Source organism: Homo sapiens, chromosome 1 (genome assembly GCF_000001405.40).
Source record: "Homo sapiens chromosome 1, GRCh38.p14 Primary Assembly".
Classification (NCBI taxonomy): domain Eukaryota; kingdom Metazoa; phylum Chordata; class Mammalia; order Primates; family Hominidae; genus Homo; species Homo sapiens.
Window position 1 is genome coordinate 38589482 of NC_000001.11, and position 19434 is coordinate 38608915.

The following is a 19434-nucleotide window of genomic DNA, read 5'->3' on the forward strand; positions in this document are numbered from 1 at the left end:
ACTCTGCTGCTCACATCCAACCTGCTTCCCCTCTGGCCTGTGGACAATGACTCCTGAGGATCAAACCCACAAGGGAGTGTATTTCTCAGCCTTGGACTGGCCTTGTTCAGGTTTTCTCCTCTCTCCCTACACCCTCCACTCCCCCAGCATAGAGGTTCTAGCTGCCCAGGGCGGGCACTACACAGATGGACTAATTGGGACTGGCACCCATGGGTGTGAAAATCGTCAACTATCTATACTGATTAATGGGTTAGTGTCAACCTGGAGAAGAGTTTAAAGACTGCCCTCAATGTCTGTTTTTAATGTCCTAAACCAGCATACACTTTCATGGGGGGCAGCATCTGTGCCAGGTGCTGTGTATAGCACATTCACAGAATCCATCTCTCTGCGGCCTGAGTAAAGACATCCAGGGCAGACAGAGCAGGAGGCCAGGAGGGGCAGCAAGGAGGCCAGGAGCTAGAATCAGGACATGAGAAGACCTTACTGGCTGGAGCAATTGGACAAAATAGAATGTTCTGGGGACCCAGGGCAAATCCTGGACTTCTGGCAACACAGTGAACGGAGCTGATACAAAAGGGCCTCCCACCTCCCACAGCCACATAGATATGAAGATTGCAAACACATAGTTGAGATTAAAAGAAAGAACTGGGATCCCCAGGCCTCTGGTAGAGACCCCAAAGCCAAAGCTATAAGCAGAAACAGAGAGTACAGTGGTCCCAGGTGTCTTGGACCTAGTGACTTGGGGGGGCTGGGATTTTAATAATCCCAGGGGCTGCACTGTGGCCTTCTGCCTGCACAAGGTAAGAGCATCAAGGGTCAAGGAAAACTATTTCCATCAGTTCAAGGAAGCATCAGACAGATTTCTAGGCCCATGGATGGAAATAAATTGTAAGTCATCTGCAAGAAATCAGAATCCTAGGTGACTCTTCCGTGTAGGTCTGAATTTATATTCCCTAGGTGGTGGAGGAGCCCCAGGCTGCCCCCCGCCCCCACATACACACCCAGAATGATCGGAAATATAAAAGACATTCCACAATCCATGAGACAATCTGAATATCCACTAACAGGAGAACTACTACATTACAGTATCCGCATACAACATTTAGAATGCATGATATATAGCTATATGTATCAACATGGATAAATTTCTTTAAAAAACACAATTTTGAGTAAAAGGAAGCAAATTGAAAAGAAGTAAAAAGGATGATGCTTGTTCTTGTTTATGTTTTCTACATGAATTTTACAATTTCCTTGCCCAGTTCCCCATTCTCCTTCTCGCCCCCACAAAAAGAGCTATTGGTTTTTTTATGAGGATAACATTAAGCTTAAAAATTAACTTAGGCCAGGTGCAGTGGATCATGCCTGTAATCCCAGCACTTAGGGAGGTAGAGGTGGGAGGATCACTTAAGCCCAGGAGTTTGAGACCAGCCTGGGCAACATAGCAAGACCCTGTTTTCCACAAGAAGAAAAAACAAAAACAAAAACAAGAAAAGAAAAAAATTAACTTAGAAAAAAATTAACTTGGGGGAAAATGAAATAGTTATGGGGTCAAATTTTCTAATTCAAGAATATAGCAGACTGCCATTTGTTCAAGATTGTTTTAGTAGCCTTCCAAGCAGTTAAAGGTAGGTTTTTTGTTAAGTTTTGCTTTGTTTTTCATATATGCCTTGGACATTTCTTGTTAAATTTATTCCTAGGTGTTTTATCTTTTTGTTAATTTTGTAGCTAAGTTTATTTCTTCCATTATATCCCGTTATATTCATATATATATAAACAACTGGTCGTTTGTATGAATATAATGAAGGATGTAATGGAAGAAACAAACTTATCTACAAAATTAAAGGATATAATGGAGGATACAAGTTCATTTCTTCCATTATATCCTCCATTACATTCATATAAACAACTGGTTGTTTATATATATATATGAAAGTTAATGATTTATTTATGTTCATCTTGTACCCTGCTACCTTTCTGAATTTTCCTATTTTTGACAGTAGTTCCAAAGTATATCTTCCAAGGTTTTTCAGATATACAATTATATCATCTGAGAATTATAACTTTATTTCTTCCTTTATAATTTTTATACTTCTCATTTCTTCCTCTTATTTAATTTCATTGGTTTCTTCCTCTAGTACAATATTAAATAATAGTTTTGAAAGTGGGAATTCTTCTCTTGTTCCTGACTTTAGCAGGAAATCTTCCAGCATTTCCCCATTATTTATGATGCTGATTTTTTAGTTGAGAAAGATTTTTTCATCTTAAGGAAATATCCATCTATTCCTATTTTATTGAGTTTTTTAAAAATAAAAAACCAATGGTTCCTTTTCATAGATCAATCATTTTAATATAACAAATAATTTAAATTGGTTTCTTAATGTTAAACCATCCTTGCATTCCTAGAATAAATTCCACTTAAGTATGATTTATTATACTTTTAAGTGCTATTAATTTTGTTGCTAATGCCTTATTTTGGATTTTAAAATTAATATTCATAAGTGAAATGAGTCTGGCATTTCCTTTTGGGTTCAGTCTTCACTGGGATTTGTCTCTGATGTATTGCTTAATGTATTAAAATAATTTGGATTTTTTCTCTTCTTTTCAATGTTCTAGAGCTGAATCATTAATATTGGAATATTGGAATTATTTGTTCTTTAATGCAGAAAAAAATTATTTGTAAAACCATTTGGCCTGGTGCCTTTTGGAAGATAGCTCTTTGACAACTTTCCCATGAATATCAGTACATTTAAAATGCTTTATGTCTTCTGGAATCATTTTGGTAAATTATATTTTCTTAGATAATTTAATAGTCATTCTAGTTTTCAAATTTGTTTTTGTAGAGTTGAACGGTTTTCATGATTAATTTTGTCTCTGTGTTAATTCTTCTTTATTATTTCTATTTTGTGTATATTTGCCTTCTGATTTTTTTTATTAGGAATAGAAACTAATCCATTTTATTGTCTTGTAAAATATTTTTTCAATTTTATTTATTCTATCCTTATTCCATTTTCTGTGTTTTCTAATTCATTACATTATTCTTGGTACTTTATTCACTTTTTCCTCTTTTTTCTTTAGGCTCATTTTGTGATTTTTTTTTTTAACTTTCCAGGTTGGATGCTTTGTTCTCATACTTGTTTACTGAATTTAAGACCAAATATTTAAAACTATGCATTTTTTCTCTGGCATTTCTAGCTTTTTCCCACTACTTCTCCGTGATACCCCCATGCAGCAGGGGCTTTTTGTTATCTGATTTTGTCGTTATTTTCTACCTAATTGAATTATGATCTGAAAATAATCTCTGTACTATATTTTTTGAGGGCAGAATTTATTGAGGGAAAAACTGCTACAGTTTTCCTTTAAGTGCCCATGGAAAATCTCTCTACATAACTCTCTGTGATATGTATATATGTGTGTGTATATACATATATATGTGTGTGTGTGCATATATGACACATACATTATACCTTGCTGATTATATTATTTAGATTATAATTTATTTATATTTACTTTTAATCCACTTAATCTGTCAAACAGAAAAAAGTAAAATCTTCTACTATTAGTATGTTTTTCTTTCTCCTTGCATTTCCCATAAGTTTTATTGTTTTTCATGTAGATTCTACTTTATTTGGTACATAGATAGTTCATAACCTTTATATCTTCATTAAAGTTAAGTACATGTAACATAAGCATAATATTATAAATATACACATAAACATATATGATTGGAATTTGAAAGTTCTCTTCTTTGTCTCATTTAATGACTTTTTTTTCCCACTGGCATTTCCAGCTTATTCCCACTACTTCTCCATGACACCCTCAAGCAGCAGGGGCTTTTTGTTCTCTGATTCTCGCTTTGTTTCATGTGAAGGTGGCAGTCCCAGCACCTAGGCCTTACCATTTCTATTACCCTAGTTTCTGACGGCTGCCAAAACAAAACACTACAAACTGGGTGACTGAAAACAACAGAAATCTAGCAGTCGCAGTTTTGGAGCTTAGAAGTCTGAAGTCAAGGTATCAGCAAGGCCATGCTCTCTCTGATGACTCTAGAGATGAATCCCTCCTTGCTCTTCCAGCTTCTGGTGTTTGCCAGTGATCCTTGGTGTTCCTTGGCTTCTAGATGCATCACTCCAGTCACATGGCTGCCTTCTCCCTGTGTTTCTCTTTATATCATCTTCCCTCAATGCATGTCTGTTTCCAATGGACTGTGGGTTAGGACTTCACCATATCTTTTTTTAGGGCACGCAATTCAACCCACAGCACCACCCCGAGTCTGCTGGGGCAAGATGACAGAATGGTTACCAGAATCTGAAGACAGGATAGCTCTGTGGAAAGGGCTTCCCTAGAAAACACTGGCTTCTCTAAAGGGATTCAGGCCAAGCAGGTGACCAAATAGGGAAGAAGCAGAGGAATAAATAACCCTACATCACTTTCTTCCCCCTCTAGTTTCTCCCAACATGTAACATTGGGAAGCAGAGGACAGAGGGTAGTCCAATGAGGCAATTCACATGGGTCAGCTTCCCCAAGGCACAGGTCAGTCTGGAGCAGGATGGACGGAGGATATGAAGGGCAAACAGAAGTTCTCCAACATACTCACAATTTCCAAGTGCTCTGGGACAACTTTTTTCTCATGCATGTTCTTTATGTGTTAGTAAGTGATCTTTTGCTCTTTTTCATAGAACATCTTTGTATTGATGACATGTCAATTCCTTTGTATTACTCATTAGGGAATTAGTTCAGTTTCCTGAAAGAATCTTTCTCCCTGGGGAAAGAGGGTCAATAAACAGGTAGGTTCAAAGCAATGTTCCAGTGGTTGTTTTCACAACACAAATATTCTTCTCTTTTTTTTTTTGAGGCAGAGTCTCGCTCTGTTGCCCAGGCTGGAGTATAGTGGCATGATCTTGGCTTGCTTGCTGCAAGCTCTGCCTCCTGAGTTGACACCATTCTCCTGCCTCAGCCTCCCGAGTAGCTGGGACCACAGGCGCCAGCCACCACACCCGGCTAATTTTTTTGTATTTTTAGTAGAGACAAGGTTTCACTGTGTTAGCCAGGATGTTCTCAACGTGTTAGCCAGGATGGTCTCGATCTCCTGACCTTGTGATCCACCCACCTTGGCCTCCCAAAGTACTGGGATTACAGGCATGAGCCACTGCGCCCAGCAAATAGTCTTATTCTCTACTGCCACAGAGACAGACTGCTTCCTGCAAATATGGCTGTCTGTGTGATTCTTCCTGTAGCTGCATCTCCTTTGCTTCTTTGAACATACTAGATCCAGAGAAACTACTATTTCCACCTCAGCTCACTGCCTTTCCTATACTCATGGTTATAAACAAGAGATCTGCACGCTGCTTTTGTACCTTAGATCGTGACATTTGCCCTCATAAAATTAATTTTTTTCAAAGACTTTTGAGATCTCCCAGCAATGAGTCTTCTTATTGCTAAGACTTCTCTGTTCAGTTTTTTGTCTCCTCTTTGTTCATCGAAATGCTGCTTGGTCTCAGCTGGATTTGGCAGCCCTTTCACATAAATTAGAGTCTGGTGATTAAAACTGCCCTGTAGTTTCAATAAAAAGTGAAATTTACAGACTTTTATTTTTCTCCTTGTTGCTTTTCAATGCTTTCCTGGAGGAAAGGGAGAGAATGTTGCTTTATACAGCCACATAAATGAAGTCTTTTCCAATTGTTAAATAGTTATGATAGATTCAAATTGCTCTTAAAAGATTATTAGACCAAATCAAATATATCTGTGAATCACATTCAGCCCATGGTATGGGGCTTCTTCATTAAGGCATAGTGGTCAGTCACAAAGCTTTGCAGATGGCCAATCCAGTAGGGTGGACTGAAAGGTGCACCACCCCCAAAAAGATATGTCCACCGGGCATCTGTGAATGTGACTTCATTTGGAAGAAGGGTCTTTGCAGGTGTAGTTAAGGATCTAGAGATGAGATCATCTTGGGTTATTCAAGTGGGCCCTAAATCCAGTGGCAAGTGTCCTTCAAAGAAGAGGAGAATACAGGCACACAGAGGAGAAAGCAACATGAAGACAGAGCACACGTGGGAGTGACACATCTATAGGACGAGAAATATTGTCAGTCACTGGAAGCCAGAAAAGGCAAGAAGCCGATACTCTCCTAGACTCTCCAGAAGGAACCAACCCTGCTGACACCTTGATCCCAGAGCTCTGGTTTCCAGAACTATGAAGGAATACACTTCTGTTGTTTGAAGCCACCCAGTTTGTGGTCATTTGTTGCAGCATTCGCAGGAAACTAACACACCCAGTTTCAATCCTGCCTTCGCCACGTTCAAGCTATGTGACCTTGAGCAAGTCTCGAGATGCAGAGGAAGGAGGCGGCTGGAAGAGCACGACTGAATTCAAATCTCTGCAGGGTTATGATGGGACAGCAGGAGTGCCTGTGTCATGTGTGGCCACAGAGGACAGGGCTAAAACCGGGATGCCAGTTTGGGCTTCAGGTAAGGGAAAGACTTTCTAAAAGTCTGAACAATGCAGACATGGAAAGGTGATCAGCTCTGAGTGACTGCAAAGACACTGTCACTGGAGATAAGCACAGAGAGATGAGACCCACCTGCAAGGTGAATATTAAGAAGACAAGTTCAATTAGCTGGGTGTGGTGGCGGGCGCCTGTAACCCCAGCCACTCGGGAGGCTGAGGCAAGAGAATTGCTTAAACCCGGGAGGCTGAGGTTGCAGTGAGCTGAGATTGTGCCATTGCACTCCAGCCTGGGCGACAGAGCAAGATCCCGTCTCAAAAAAAAAAAAAAAAAAGAAAGAAAGAAAGAAAAGAAAAGGAAAAAAAAAGAAAGAGGACAAGTACGGGGTCAGAAAGACCTAGGTTATCATCTTGGCCCTGCTGCGTGACTTTTGACAAATGACTTAAAGTTTCTGGGCCTCAGATATCTCATCTATAGTATGGGGTCGGCAGCACCCAGAGTTATCATCAGGATTACATGAGAGCTACAAGGAGAAGTGTACTTCACTACGTACCGGGTACTATGCTAAGTACCCTTTACATGCACTTACCCATTTAATGATGAATGCTCCATAAATGGTGCCTTTTAATTTGGTGGTGGTGTTTTTTCATGTCATTGTAGACTGTTCTTGACCAGGAGGTGGACTAAATGTAGGGAATCCACAAACCCCACACAAGTTGATATGTATGTGTGCTTTTCCGCAGAGTGGATCCACAGCGGTCTCCCAAGTCTCAAAGGGAGCAGTGACCCTGAAAACCACAAAATGTTGCGCAGAGGGAATTGGATTCTGCGTCCCAAGAGACTCCTTCCAACCTGGAACTGAATGACATGGAGCAGATGCTGCTGTAGCCCAATGTGTGTCCAGGACAAAATGAGTCTGGGTGTCCTGTGGGGGCGCAGGGATACCTCCCGCTACATTCTCCTCTCTGTTCTCTCCTGCCTGTGAGCTGCAGGCAAATTTCGGTGGGGGAAGCAGCGAGAGAAGAAAAAAGCAATGTGCAATTTTGATGCACAAGGGGCAATTTCTAAAGACAATTCTTGGTGACCATAAACGCCCACCACCTCCGGCGGCTCCACCTGAAACCCAAGGAGCATCATTTTCCATTCTCGCTTCTGAGATAATAAGTTGGAGAGAAGCTTCATATTTCAAATCAAAACTATTTTCCAACTAGAGGAAGAGTGGAAACTTTTCAGGCAAATTTCATATGCAGTAACACAATTTCCTCCTGTTCCACTTCTTTTTTCACCTAATACATGATAAATATTCAAGATCTCCTTGAGGGAGCATGAGCGGAGAGCGGGGAGGCATAATCGTCATGGCTGCTCAGTGGTGGCAGGCAGTGGGGTGGACCGAGGTCCCTCTCTCTCAGGGCCTGCCTGGATACCAGCCTGAGCTCCTGGCTCCCTAACCTGCCCCCAGAAGAGCCCTCACTCCATCTGGCTGATGAGAATGAGCCCTGGCGCGGGCTTGAGGGAATACTTGAAAATTTTATTATCTTTTTTTCTTTTTTCTTTTTTTTTTTTTTTTTTGAGATGGAGTCTTGCTCTGTTGCCCAGTCTAGAGTGCGGCAGCGCAATCTGGGCTCATTGCAACCTCCACCTCCCGGGTTCAAGCAATTCTCCTGCCTCAGCCTCCCAGGTAGCTGGGATTACAGGTGCGACACCATGCCCGGCGAATTTTTTGTATTTTTAGTAGAGATGGGGTTTCACCATGCTGGCCAGGCTGATCTTGAACTCCTGACCTCATGATCCACCCGCCTCAGCCTCCCAAAGTGCTGGGATTACAGGCATGAGCCACCGAGCCTGGCCGAAAATTATGTATTATCTTAATGGCTATGAACAGTGTTCACTGGGAAAATGCCTTGAAGAGGTACTTGGGATAGACGATGAGACTTAACACAGAGATTATTAGTGACTTGGGGGGGATCCCAGGCCAGGGGACAGGGATAAGGGGACACAAGAGAGGCAACCCTCACCAATGGAATCTGTGGGCTCCAGCCACATGGTAGAAGGTTGATGATAAATAAATGGTGGCCTGTGGTTGGGAGCACAGAGGGCATCTCTCTGTTAAGAGATAACAATAGCTAGCTTCTCTCTACTGGGCACTTGCCATGTGCCTAGCACTGAACTAATGCTTTACGTGCACCACCACATTTAATCCTCATAGCACTGCTATGAGGTAGGAACTATCATTATTCCCATTTTACAAAGAAACCAGAGTTCAGGGAGCTTACATAAATTGCCTGAGATCACACTGCTAACAAAGTAAAACACAAAATACCACTACACATTCTATAGAATGGTACAATTAAAAAGACTCACCATATCAAGTATTGGTAAGAACTAGAGCATCTGGAAGTCTCATATATTGCTGATGAACATATGGCGCAATCACTTTGGAAAACTGGCAGTTTCTAATAAATTTAAACACATACTTACCCTATTACTCAGAATTCCACTCCTAGGTATTTACCAAAGAAAAATTAGTGTATGTATGTCCACAAAAAGTGTGCAAGAATGCTCATAGCTGCTTTACTCATAAGAACCCCAAACTAGAAAACTCCATCAACAGGCAAGTGGATAAATACCCTGGGTGCATACACATAAGGGAAAATTGCTTAGCAATAAAAAGGAGCAAACTAATCATACTTGCAGCATGGATGCATCTCAAAATCAACACGCTGAGCAATAGAAGCCAGATGCAGAGTGAGTACCATGTATTTCCAATGGCAAGAAGCAGACTCCTGGTTGCCCCAGGCTGGGGTGGGCAGGGACCACTTGCAAAGGGCAATGAGGGTGGTGGAAATGTTCTATGTCTTAATAGTGGTGGTAGTTACATAGGTGGAGACATCTGTCAAAACCCATCTAATGAACACTCAAAATGGTTAAATTTATAACATAAATTATACCTCGGTAAGGTTGTCTTTACAAAAATCTGAAGTCCTTACACCACGGCCTGTACGTTCCAACATCCCTCCTGCCTCCACCTCTCCCTCCACTCTCCCCTTTGGCCTTCTATTCTGGCCACACCAGTCTCCTTGCTGTTCATCAAATTGTCCAGGCACATCTCCCTCTCTAGGGCTTTGTCTGTGCTGTCCCCACCACCTGCAATGCTCTCCCCACAATGTCCACGTGACTCACTCTCTCACCTCTTGCAGATCTCTGTTCAAAAGTTACCCAGCAGTGTGGTCTTCCCTGACCCCAGCCCCCGCATAAAATAACACCCACTGCATACTTCCCTGGTCCTTTACCCTGCTTTCTTCTCTATAGCACTTATCACATCCTGGCATATTATACTTGTATTCATTTACTGTCTGTCTCCCTTTCTAGAGTAAGCCCCATGAGAGCTGGAACTCTGTTTCACCGGGCAGTGCTACTTTGAGGTCTAGAACAATCCCTGGCATGTGGTAGACCCTCAGTCATTCCACAGAATGAATGAATTAAGCCCTTCCTATCCTGCTTTCCTTCCCTTTTCCCCACTGATCTTCCCTTAAAAAAAAAAAAAAGAAAAATCATTTAATACCAAAAAGATCTCTTTCAGAGATATCCCCACTCTAACACAAAACAGTCTTTTCTTCTGAAAATAACAATAATATAGAATATTTTACTTCTCAGCTTCTATCATTTGCATTTGGGGATTTCACCAATACTCAGTAATACTCCAAGAACACGGAGTGGATATTTGTCCTACGTTTGTATAACTGAAGGACATCCAAAACAAAGAACCATTTTTTCCAAGGTGACTTCTGTCTTTAACACCAGAGACTGGTAGGAACTTAAATCTGCTAGCAACTTAAAAAAAAATGCAGTGTCTCTACAATACTTTTGTTCTGCCTCACTGATCACCCTTCTACATGTATATTTATTTATTTACATAATCAGGATTATACAGCATGAAGACATACTGTTCTGTAACCCGTTTTTCTCATTTAGCAATATAGAGTAAGTATTTTCCCATGTCATTAAAAATTCTTGGAAAATGTAATTATTAATGGCTAAGGAATGTTATAATTAATAATGGCTAAGGAATGGCTAAGGTATCTAGATGTACCATAGTTTATTTAAGCACTCTCTTACTGTGGAAGATTTTGGTTGCTTCCTTTTAAAAAAAATTTCAATTATAAATAATGAATGTCATTGGGTATAAATTTTTGCCTGAATTTCTAAGTATTTCCAGAGATGGAATCCTAGCTGCAAAGGATATGGGTGGTTTTTCTGTTAAGGTTTTTAATAAGAAGTCCCAACTTGTATTTTAAGTTTTAATACATAGTTCCACTTCTGTTTTCCAGAAGAGAGACACCCATTTAAATGACTAACAACAGGATATGAGAGCACTGTAAGGTTTGACCCTTTCAAGCAGTGGGCATTACCATTTCTTAAATCTTGTCTTCTATTTCTTTGATTATTAGCAAAGTGGAATGTCTTTTCACATGCTTATTTGTATTTCATCTTCTGTGAATTATGTTACTCTCCTGTTTTGTAATTGAAGTGTTAGTATTTATCTTAGTGAATTGTCAGAGCGCTCAGTGAATAATAGGGACATTAACAAAGAATCTTTGTTTCTTTGTTTGCTTGCCTTTAATTGTGTTTATGTTGTTTCTCAAATACACATATTTTTAACTCTCTTTGTTGTTAATGTTGCTTTGTTTAGAAAGTCCTTTCTCATCCCAGAATGGGTTTAGAACCCTGCTGACTATAAGGCATAGGTCTGTTGCATAAATTCTCTCCTTCTGTCCTCCAACCATGCCATGAAGTAAGCATTATCATCCTCACTTTGTTATTTTTTACTATGTAAAAATTTCAAACATACACAGAAGAAAATAAATATATTGATTCTGGGATTTGCCTCAAGATAATGGGGGCGGGCATGAGGGTAGGGAGAGGACCAATAAGAATGACCATGAGCTGGTGATGATTGTAGTTAATGATGAGTTCATGGGGGTTCTCCCGACTTTTGCAAGGTGATGTGACCTGGTTGACACTTCAGGAGGCCAAAAGGGGAGCTATTTCCTGGCCCCTTCCCTATGACAGGCACTGCCCTGGGATCCCTGAATCATCCTACTGAACCCCACCACTAAGGGGAAGGAATCATTGGTCCCATTCTACAGATGAAGACACTGAGATTCAAGGGGATGAATTACTCAAGGTCACGTGATGGATAAGTGCAGAAACAGGATCTGAACTCAGATCATCTTGACCCAAGTTTTATGTTCCTTCTACTGGGCCAGACTATTTCTTTGGAGGCAGAAAGTTTAATGAAAGAAAAGATAGACATCTTTGACAGAGCTTGGCTTAACCACACTCCCGGGAGAGGGCTCTGATTAGAAGTTAATCCGATTTTAAAAAAATAAGAAATATAATTCTTCTTGTTTGGCTGAATTTATGGACCAAGATTCAGACCTGCTACTCATTCATTTTGTCCATCATAATCTCAGCAATCATTCTGAGCACCTGCATGAATTGGTTTAAAATTCAAAACAAAAGTAGAAACAAATTAAAAGAGTTCAATACCAGTGATGCAATCAGAGTCCCCCCACCCAAAATGGCCCTCTCACTTTGCATCACAGACATTTGGCCAAGACCTTTCTTTCTAACATAACACTTCATTCACGTCCTAGTGTTCTAGTCAACTATTGCTACAATAATGCCGCATAAGAAACAACCCCAGAATCTCCGTGGCCTACAACAGCAAGCACACACTGCTCCCCCATGGTCTGCAGGTTGGTTCTCTAGACCCCTGCCCTCAACCCCCAGGGACACTCAAATACATAAGAAATTTGCCTATATATTAAAGCCTCATAGACACACACAGATTTTGATGAAACCAAAAGTATAACATGAATTTGTAACCTTATTAACAGTACAGCTGAGGCAGGGATGGGACTGGGGACACAGTTCCCATTCCCCTGGCCGTAACTCTTTCTCTGTCTCATTCACTCAGAAACCGTGTTGGAATTTGAGAAAGTGAGAGTGTTATCATGACAGAGAGGTCCTTGAATCTGCTCTGATTTATCTTTTTTTTTTTTTTTTTTTTTTAATAAATCACTCACAGCACTGGTGCTTTATCATTCACCACAAATCACTCATGGTACAATGTCACAGTCCTACCCCCAAGAACAGTGGAATTACATGGCAGCAGGTAAGAAATGTAAGCCATTTAGTTATTGGGACAGCATATATTAGTTAAGCATCTACTATGAACTAGGCACTGGGGAGACCCTGCCCTCATGAGAACATATTCCAGTGGGGTCGGCATCAGGGAACAGGCAATAAATGAATTTTTTTTTTTTTTTTTTGAGACGGAGTTTTACTCTTGTCACCCAGGCTGGAGTGCAATGGTGCAGTCTTGGCTCACTGCAACATCCTTCTCCTGGGTTCAAGCAATTCTCCTGCCTCAACCTCCAGAGTAGCTGGGATGACAGGCACCTGCCACCATGGCCAGCTAATTTTTGTATTTTTAGTAGAGACGGAGTTTCACCATGTTGGCCGGGCTGGTCTTGAACTCCTGACCTCAGGTGATCCGCCTGCCTCGGCCTTGAATGTATTTTTAAAAGGTCATCTGATGATAAATACTCAAGTGATGGATGCCCTAAATATCCTGACTTGATCATTACACATTCTATGCATGCAACAAAATGTTATGTATACCCCATAGATATGTACAAATATAGTGTATAAAAAAATTTAATAAAAAATTAAAAGGTCATTGGAGTGGATGATAAGTGCAATAACTGCCAGGGAAATCAAGCGAGGTAGTTGGACAGAGCAGGAGGAGGCACATCAGGGTTGACTTCTGCGGGAGGTGTAATGGATTGAGTCTTGAATGGCAAGAAGTCAACCATGCACAACTGGAGCAAGTGCATTCTAGGCAAAGGGAACTGCAGGGACAAAGCCTGAAACAGGAGCAGAAACAGAAAGGAGTCTGGCATGGCTGCAGTAGAATGAAGGAGGGGAGGGGGCAGACCAGTGGGAGAGGCAGAAAGGAACACCTCACAGAGGCCCTGGGGGCCTGGAGCAGGGGTTGGGATTTTCCTCTGATATTGGAAGACCCTGGAATGTTTCCACACGGGAGTGGCATGATCAGACAGGATCTCTCTGACTGCCCCAGTGACCACCCAACAGAGCTGGCTCATCTGGCTGACTGCACAAGGTCTCTCCTCATTTTCCATGGCCCTTCCCCTGAACTGCACTTCTGGAGAAAAAAAGGAGGACCCTCCAGAGAAAAGGGGGAGCCCCTGTGGCCCAGGAAAACCAGCAGCTGTGTTGCCTTCCATGTGCAATGGAAGCTGCAGTATTTTTCCTTCCAAGCAGCACTTGTAACTTCCCAGAAAACTTCAGCACATGCAATGGGATAAACCCACATGGGTGACTCTGCTGACCACAGCGCCAGGCACTAGGGCTTGCAGTCAGGGAGAAGTAGGAGATACACAGGACCTTCAGCAGCTTTCCTGTGCCAGCTGCCCTTCAGCCAATGCTAGGCCCCAAGTGGATTCTCCCAGGTCCTGTGGCCCAAGAGGTGAAATTCCCTCCAGCATCACCACATCTTACAGATCCTGAAGAGCTGTACTTGCCACAGCCCTCAGCTATCCCAGGAGGCAGCCAGGGCAAGACTGCTTGTCCCCACTCACAAATGAGAAAACCAAGGCATAGGGAAATGAAGTTTGAGCCCAGAGTCACGGAGGTCTAAAGAACAAGGCCTGGAATTGAACCGGGCACTTCTTGCCACAAACTCAGTGCTTTGGCCTTTCTTAGTTCTTCTGCCGCAGTCAGAGGCAACCCCAGGAGAGTCTACCATGGACGAGGCATTGCTCTGAGAGCTTTACACATATGAATAGATTTTATCCTCACAAAAATCCTGTGGGGTGGATACTACTACTATCCACATGTTACAGATGAAAAAACATAGACAGAGACATTTGATACCTTGCTCAAGGTCACACAGGGCTAGAAAGTGGCACAGCCAAGATGTGAACCAGTCTTTATCACTATGCTATGCTGCACCTTACACTCATCTGTGGAAGGAAGGGAAAGGAGGGGAAGGGAGCGGGACAAAAGCGTATGAACATAGCATGCTACTTGTATATTTGTGTGTACAGCTGTCCGTGGGTGTGCATGTGTGGGTGCACCAGTGTGTATGTACACACTTGGGTGTGTGTGTAGGTCTGTCTTCACATGAGGGTTTTACCGAGTGCTTATCACCTGCTTTTTATTTTTTGTGTTTCTATGCACACCTGAGCATCAGGTGTGGTTTTGTTTTTTGTTTTGGTTTTTTGTTTTGGTTTTTTATTTTATTTATTTATTTTTTTGAGACGGAGTCTCGTACTGTCGCCCGGGCTGGAGTGCAGTGGCGTGATCTGGGCTCACTGCAACCTCCACCTCTTGGGTTCAAGTGATTCTCCTGCCTCAGCCTCCCGAGTAGCTGGGATTACAGGCATGTGCCACCATGCCCAGTTAGTTTTTTGTATTTTTAGTAGAGACAGGGTTTCACCATGTTGGCCAGGCTGGTCTTGAACTCCTGACCTCATGATTCACCCGCCTCGGCCTCCCAAAGTGCTGGGATTACAGGTGTGAGTCACCGCGCCCGGCCAGGTGTGGTTTTAGGTGTATCTTCTCGTAAGTGCAGGCATGCACACAGGCACTGGCATGCATATTTATGTACCCATGCATATGGCTGCATCCAAGCATATGAGTGAGTTTGTTAGTGTAACTGTGCCTCCCCACAAGTGCGTATTATGAGGGCAGGTATGCTTTTTCGGTGCATGTGTGTGAGTATGTGGGTGTATGTGACCTTGAGCATTCTCCTGTGCAGATGGATGTGATTTTGAGGGCAGGTGCACCTATTTATTTACGCCCTGTTGTCTACGGCTGTGCTGGTGTGCCCAGGAGTGCACATACTCTTGGGAGCTGTTCTGCTTGGCCCAACTCCAGCCAGTGCTCCACAAGAAAGACAAGGGGAGCCCCGAAATTAAAAGAGCCTCTCTGCGGGGTCAGAGTTCTGCACCATCATCACCAGAAACTCTGCAGAAAACAGGTTTTGAAAGTGGACAAGAAATTGATATGTTTGTTATCTAAATCCTGAATTATTTTCCCCCTTGCTTTGGGGTGTTTGGAAGCTGCCTGCAGCACCTTAGAGAGATGCTGTGTGCAACCCATTGCAACCTGCATGTGATCGGGTGCTGAAGGAGAGGGGAAGGTCATTTTCAGATGAGCTTCTCCAAGGATGTGACTGCCAGCAGGCTCAGGAAGTATTAGCTGCTTGCAGTCCTCCCTCAGCACTGGCCCTGCCCAGCCTGCACCTGCCTCTGCCAGCCAGCTTACAGGGGACAAGGATGCAAATAGGGAAAGTGGGGAGGAGCTGCAGAGTGGGGAGTCTGGGGAGAAGAAAGGGAGGACTTGGCCAGGGATGTGGGGCTCTGTTTCAATGGGCCTTTGGTTTATAATTCCACACGTCCTGTGTTTGTTCGGCTTCAGCTTGCATAACTCCAGAGATGGGCTACTCACTACCTCTTGAAGTCACCGGTTCCCATTAGCTATTAGGAAGTGGGGTCATTCAGCATTTCACGGCCCACTGTGTGCCCAGCAAGGCTGCCACCCTCCTGGAGCCCACTGTACTGCAGTGGACAGGCACAGCTACGTTTGTTCCATCTCATTATTCTGTCCCAAGGGCTGTCCTCAGCACCTGCACTGCAGAAGTGGGCACATCATTTCCCCTGTAACCAAAACATTCCTCTTCCTTTTACAGCTCCTCAAATGCTGGGACATGGAGTTCTGTCTCTACTTCCCTCATTCTATCCTTGCCCTGCCCCACTCACCACCTCCTCTCCAGCCCCCCTGCTTCCCAAGGGAGGCCGCTGGAGCCTGAGGCATGCACTTCCCAGTCTTGGCAAGGCTATGGGGCCCAGGCAGTTCTCAGACCCCAGGGCCCAGATGCTGAGAAGAGAGGAAGGAAAGGAATCCCTAGGTACTCTCTTGGCACAAGACAAGGTCTCTTGGAGGCTGAGCCTCTCTTACTCAGGAAGGCCCTGGAGTATTGGCCAGAGACAAAGCATGAAGTTCTCTGACAATACTAGTAAGAAGGCCACATTTTACACCAATAAAAGGACTATATCTCTGGCTAAAACAGTGATGGTGGGAGATTGAGAGAAAAAACAGAAGAGTCATAGGGAGAGAGAGACAGAGACAGATACAGAAACAGAGAGACTAGCAGAAATAAAGACAAAGAAAAATGTGCACAGAACAGAAAGAGACAGACAGAAAGATATAGAGTCAAAGAGAGAATCAAAGCAACAGTCTCGGAGAGACAAGGATGAGAGGCTCAGAGATGGGAACAGATAAAGATGGTCCTAGAGACAGGGAGAGATGCTCATCAATGGACATATCAGCCACAAAAGTGGGAAGAGGGGCCCGAGACCCAGAAATCCAGAGACACAGAGAGGGATGCCCACGTACCTCCCAGACTTCCTTTTTACTCTCTTGACTAATTTTTTTAAAAAGCAGAAGAAATAAAATGGTTTGATTTGAAGTCACTTCCAATAAAGATCCATGTGCAATAAAGGATAAGCATGAAAGGGAAAAGGCAAATCTAAACTGTTGTGGAAGAAGGAAAAAACTAATTATACCGAAGACCTAGCTGTGGTTACTTTAGTGGCCTGCAATGAACTACCTGATTTTCATGCCTCGTGTACACCCATGACCTTGATTCTGGGCTGGCCCTGTAATCTCCTTTTACCAATAGGATGTGGTGGATGTGACACTGTGCCAATTCTGAGCCTAGGCCTTAAGTCCTGGCAGTTTCTGGGAGTGTGTGTGTGTGTGTGTGTGTGTGTGTGTGTGTGTGCGCGCGCGCGCACGCACCTGAGTACACACGCTTTGGGGAAAGCCATCCACTGTCTAAGATGTTAGACTGTACTGAGGCCATCTTGCTTATGTGAAGATGCCTAAGCTAATCACCTTGAGAGATCATGTGGGGAACAAGAAACTCAGCCAACAGTGAGAACCAAGGCCCCAGATATACACCCTAAATCAAACTGCGCCACAGCCCTCAGCTGCACACACAGAGAGCAGAGGTCAACTCTCCCCACTAAGCCCTGCCCAAATGCAGAATCATGAGCAATAACAGAATTGTTGTATTTTAAGTCATTACATTTTGGGATAGTTTGTCATGTAGGAATAGATTGCTGAAATACCAGGTTACTACAGTAGCAGTAATTAAGTCTAGCAGATTCCCTAATTTCCTTTGGCTGATGGATTATGTGGGAGACTCAGAGCATCTCTTTCCCCTGAAGAATAAAAGTGATACTCAGCTCCTTAATTGTAAAATCAGCAAAAGTCCATCATTGGCAAACTGGAAAGAAAATGGTAATTCACAGACTTACCTGCTGTGGAATAGCGATGCTGCTGCTGCTAATGATCAGTGACTGACTAACGATGGGTAAAGAGAATCAGCGCTACATTTTTTATTAGCACTTACCACATGCCAGTTTATCCCATTTTATAGAAGAGAAGACAGAGGCACAGAGATGTGAAATGACCACCCAAGGTCTCACAGCCAGTCCTTGTCAGGGCCAGGATTTGAGCCCAGAACCCAAATTAGATTAGAAATCAAGCCGAACAAACAAATCCCTACCCAGGAACTACAAATTTAGGGGCCACCTCTGTATCCCAAAGGCCCTGAGGCCAAAATGCTCACCAGACATTCCTGGGAAGTGGGCAGTGGGGAGGATGGGCCAGTGCTCTCGCCCTCTCTCGGGGTGGGCTGGCTCTAGGGTGGGGTCTGTTTTTCTCTAGAGCCCCGGGCAGACGAGCACCCAGGGAAGGCCCCCCATCAGGTCCACCCCACCGTGGCCCCGTGCACTGGTCTAGCAGGGCAGCAGCCCATGCCTGCAGACTCTGTCTTGAGGCCTGGAGGAATCACTTGACTCTGAGATTGTTTCCAGGAATACTTTCGCTTCTGTTATTATACTGCCTTCCCTGACACCCCCTCCCCCCAGTACTTTTTTTTTTTACACTAAACTTTCTCTGAATTCACCTGATTTTTCCCATCTCCTTTACATTCTTTATGGCAATGGAGAAATAATCACCGCTTCTCCGGCAGGGTGATGGGAGTGTGCAATATTAACTGTAAATCAGGCAGAAATTGGTAGAAGGGGAAGGGTTTGATGAGGTGCAGAGACATTATATCATTTTAAAGCACTTTTCTGGTCTCCAGTAATCCCCATGTAAATGAAAAGGAGGCGACCGTGCCTCTCTCTCCCAGGCTGCCTTGAGGAATGCAGAGAAAATACTCCTGGAAAGCGGACCTGGGGCAGAGGAAGGTTGGCTGGGGCTGACAGGGGAGGCAGAAATGCCCAAGACGATGCCCCCAGCCCCTCCACACCAGGGCTGTGCTCACGCTGGGACTGGAATCATCCTGGCCATGCTGCGCCTTCGTGAAAGATGAGGACCCGAGGCTATGGACCGGGAGGCGTTGGTGCTATTCACCAACAGGGGGCAGGGCTGCATCAAACCATCTGCATCTTGTAGCCCGGTGGTCTCAACCCGAGTGGTACTGCCCCCAGGGGAGCGTCTGGAATGTGGGGCCTCCAGGGACTCTGTCCATTGTCAAATGTCTTGGAGGCACTGCAGAACTTGGTAGAAGCGTAACATCCTGTAATGCGCAGAAGACTCCCACATAACAAAGAATTGCCCCTCTTAAAATGCTGGTAGCTTCCCCTCCGTGCCATGCTCACACAAAGAACTTCACTTTCCTGAAGAATGACCATCTATGGAGACTTATAACTGCAGGGCCCATCGCCAGGGAAGGTTCATTCTCTCCCTGACCTCCCAGGTTCCTTTAAACTTAAGTCAGTTCATTTAGGCCTACTGGCTGCTGCTTCAGCTGAATTCAGCTACCTGCGTTTCATCCAATCTCAGGTGTTATTGATTGATTGTAAAGGAAGGCACTGTTTTAT

General features: G+C 43.5%; 3 annotated features.

The window, feature by feature from the left end:
• Positions 10382-10997: an enhancer, noted in NCBI's record as "OCT4-NANOG hESC enhancer chr1:39065535-39066150 (GRCh37/hg19 assembly coordinates)". NCBI's record gives its function as "activates a minimal SCP1, AML or CMV promoter by ChIP-STARR-seq in primed H9 embryonic stem cells {active_cell/tissue: H9 hESC(primed)}" and the evidence as "EXISTENCE:reporter gene assay evidence [ECO:0000049][PMID:30033119]".
• Positions 10998-11613: an enhancer, noted in NCBI's record as "OCT4-NANOG hESC enhancer chr1:39066151-39066766 (GRCh37/hg19 assembly coordinates)". NCBI's record gives its function as "activates a minimal SCP1, AML or CMV promoter by ChIP-STARR-seq in primed H9 embryonic stem cells {active_cell/tissue: H9 hESC(primed)}" and the evidence as "EXISTENCE:reporter gene assay evidence [ECO:0000049][PMID:30033119]".
• Positions 18568-19357: an enhancer, noted in NCBI's record as "H3K4me1 hESC enhancer chr1:39073721-39074510 (GRCh37/hg19 assembly coordinates)". NCBI's record gives its function as "activates a minimal SCP1, AML or CMV promoter by ChIP-STARR-seq in primed H9 embryonic stem cells {active_cell/tissue: H9 hESC(primed)}" and the evidence as "EXISTENCE:reporter gene assay evidence [ECO:0000049][PMID:30033119]".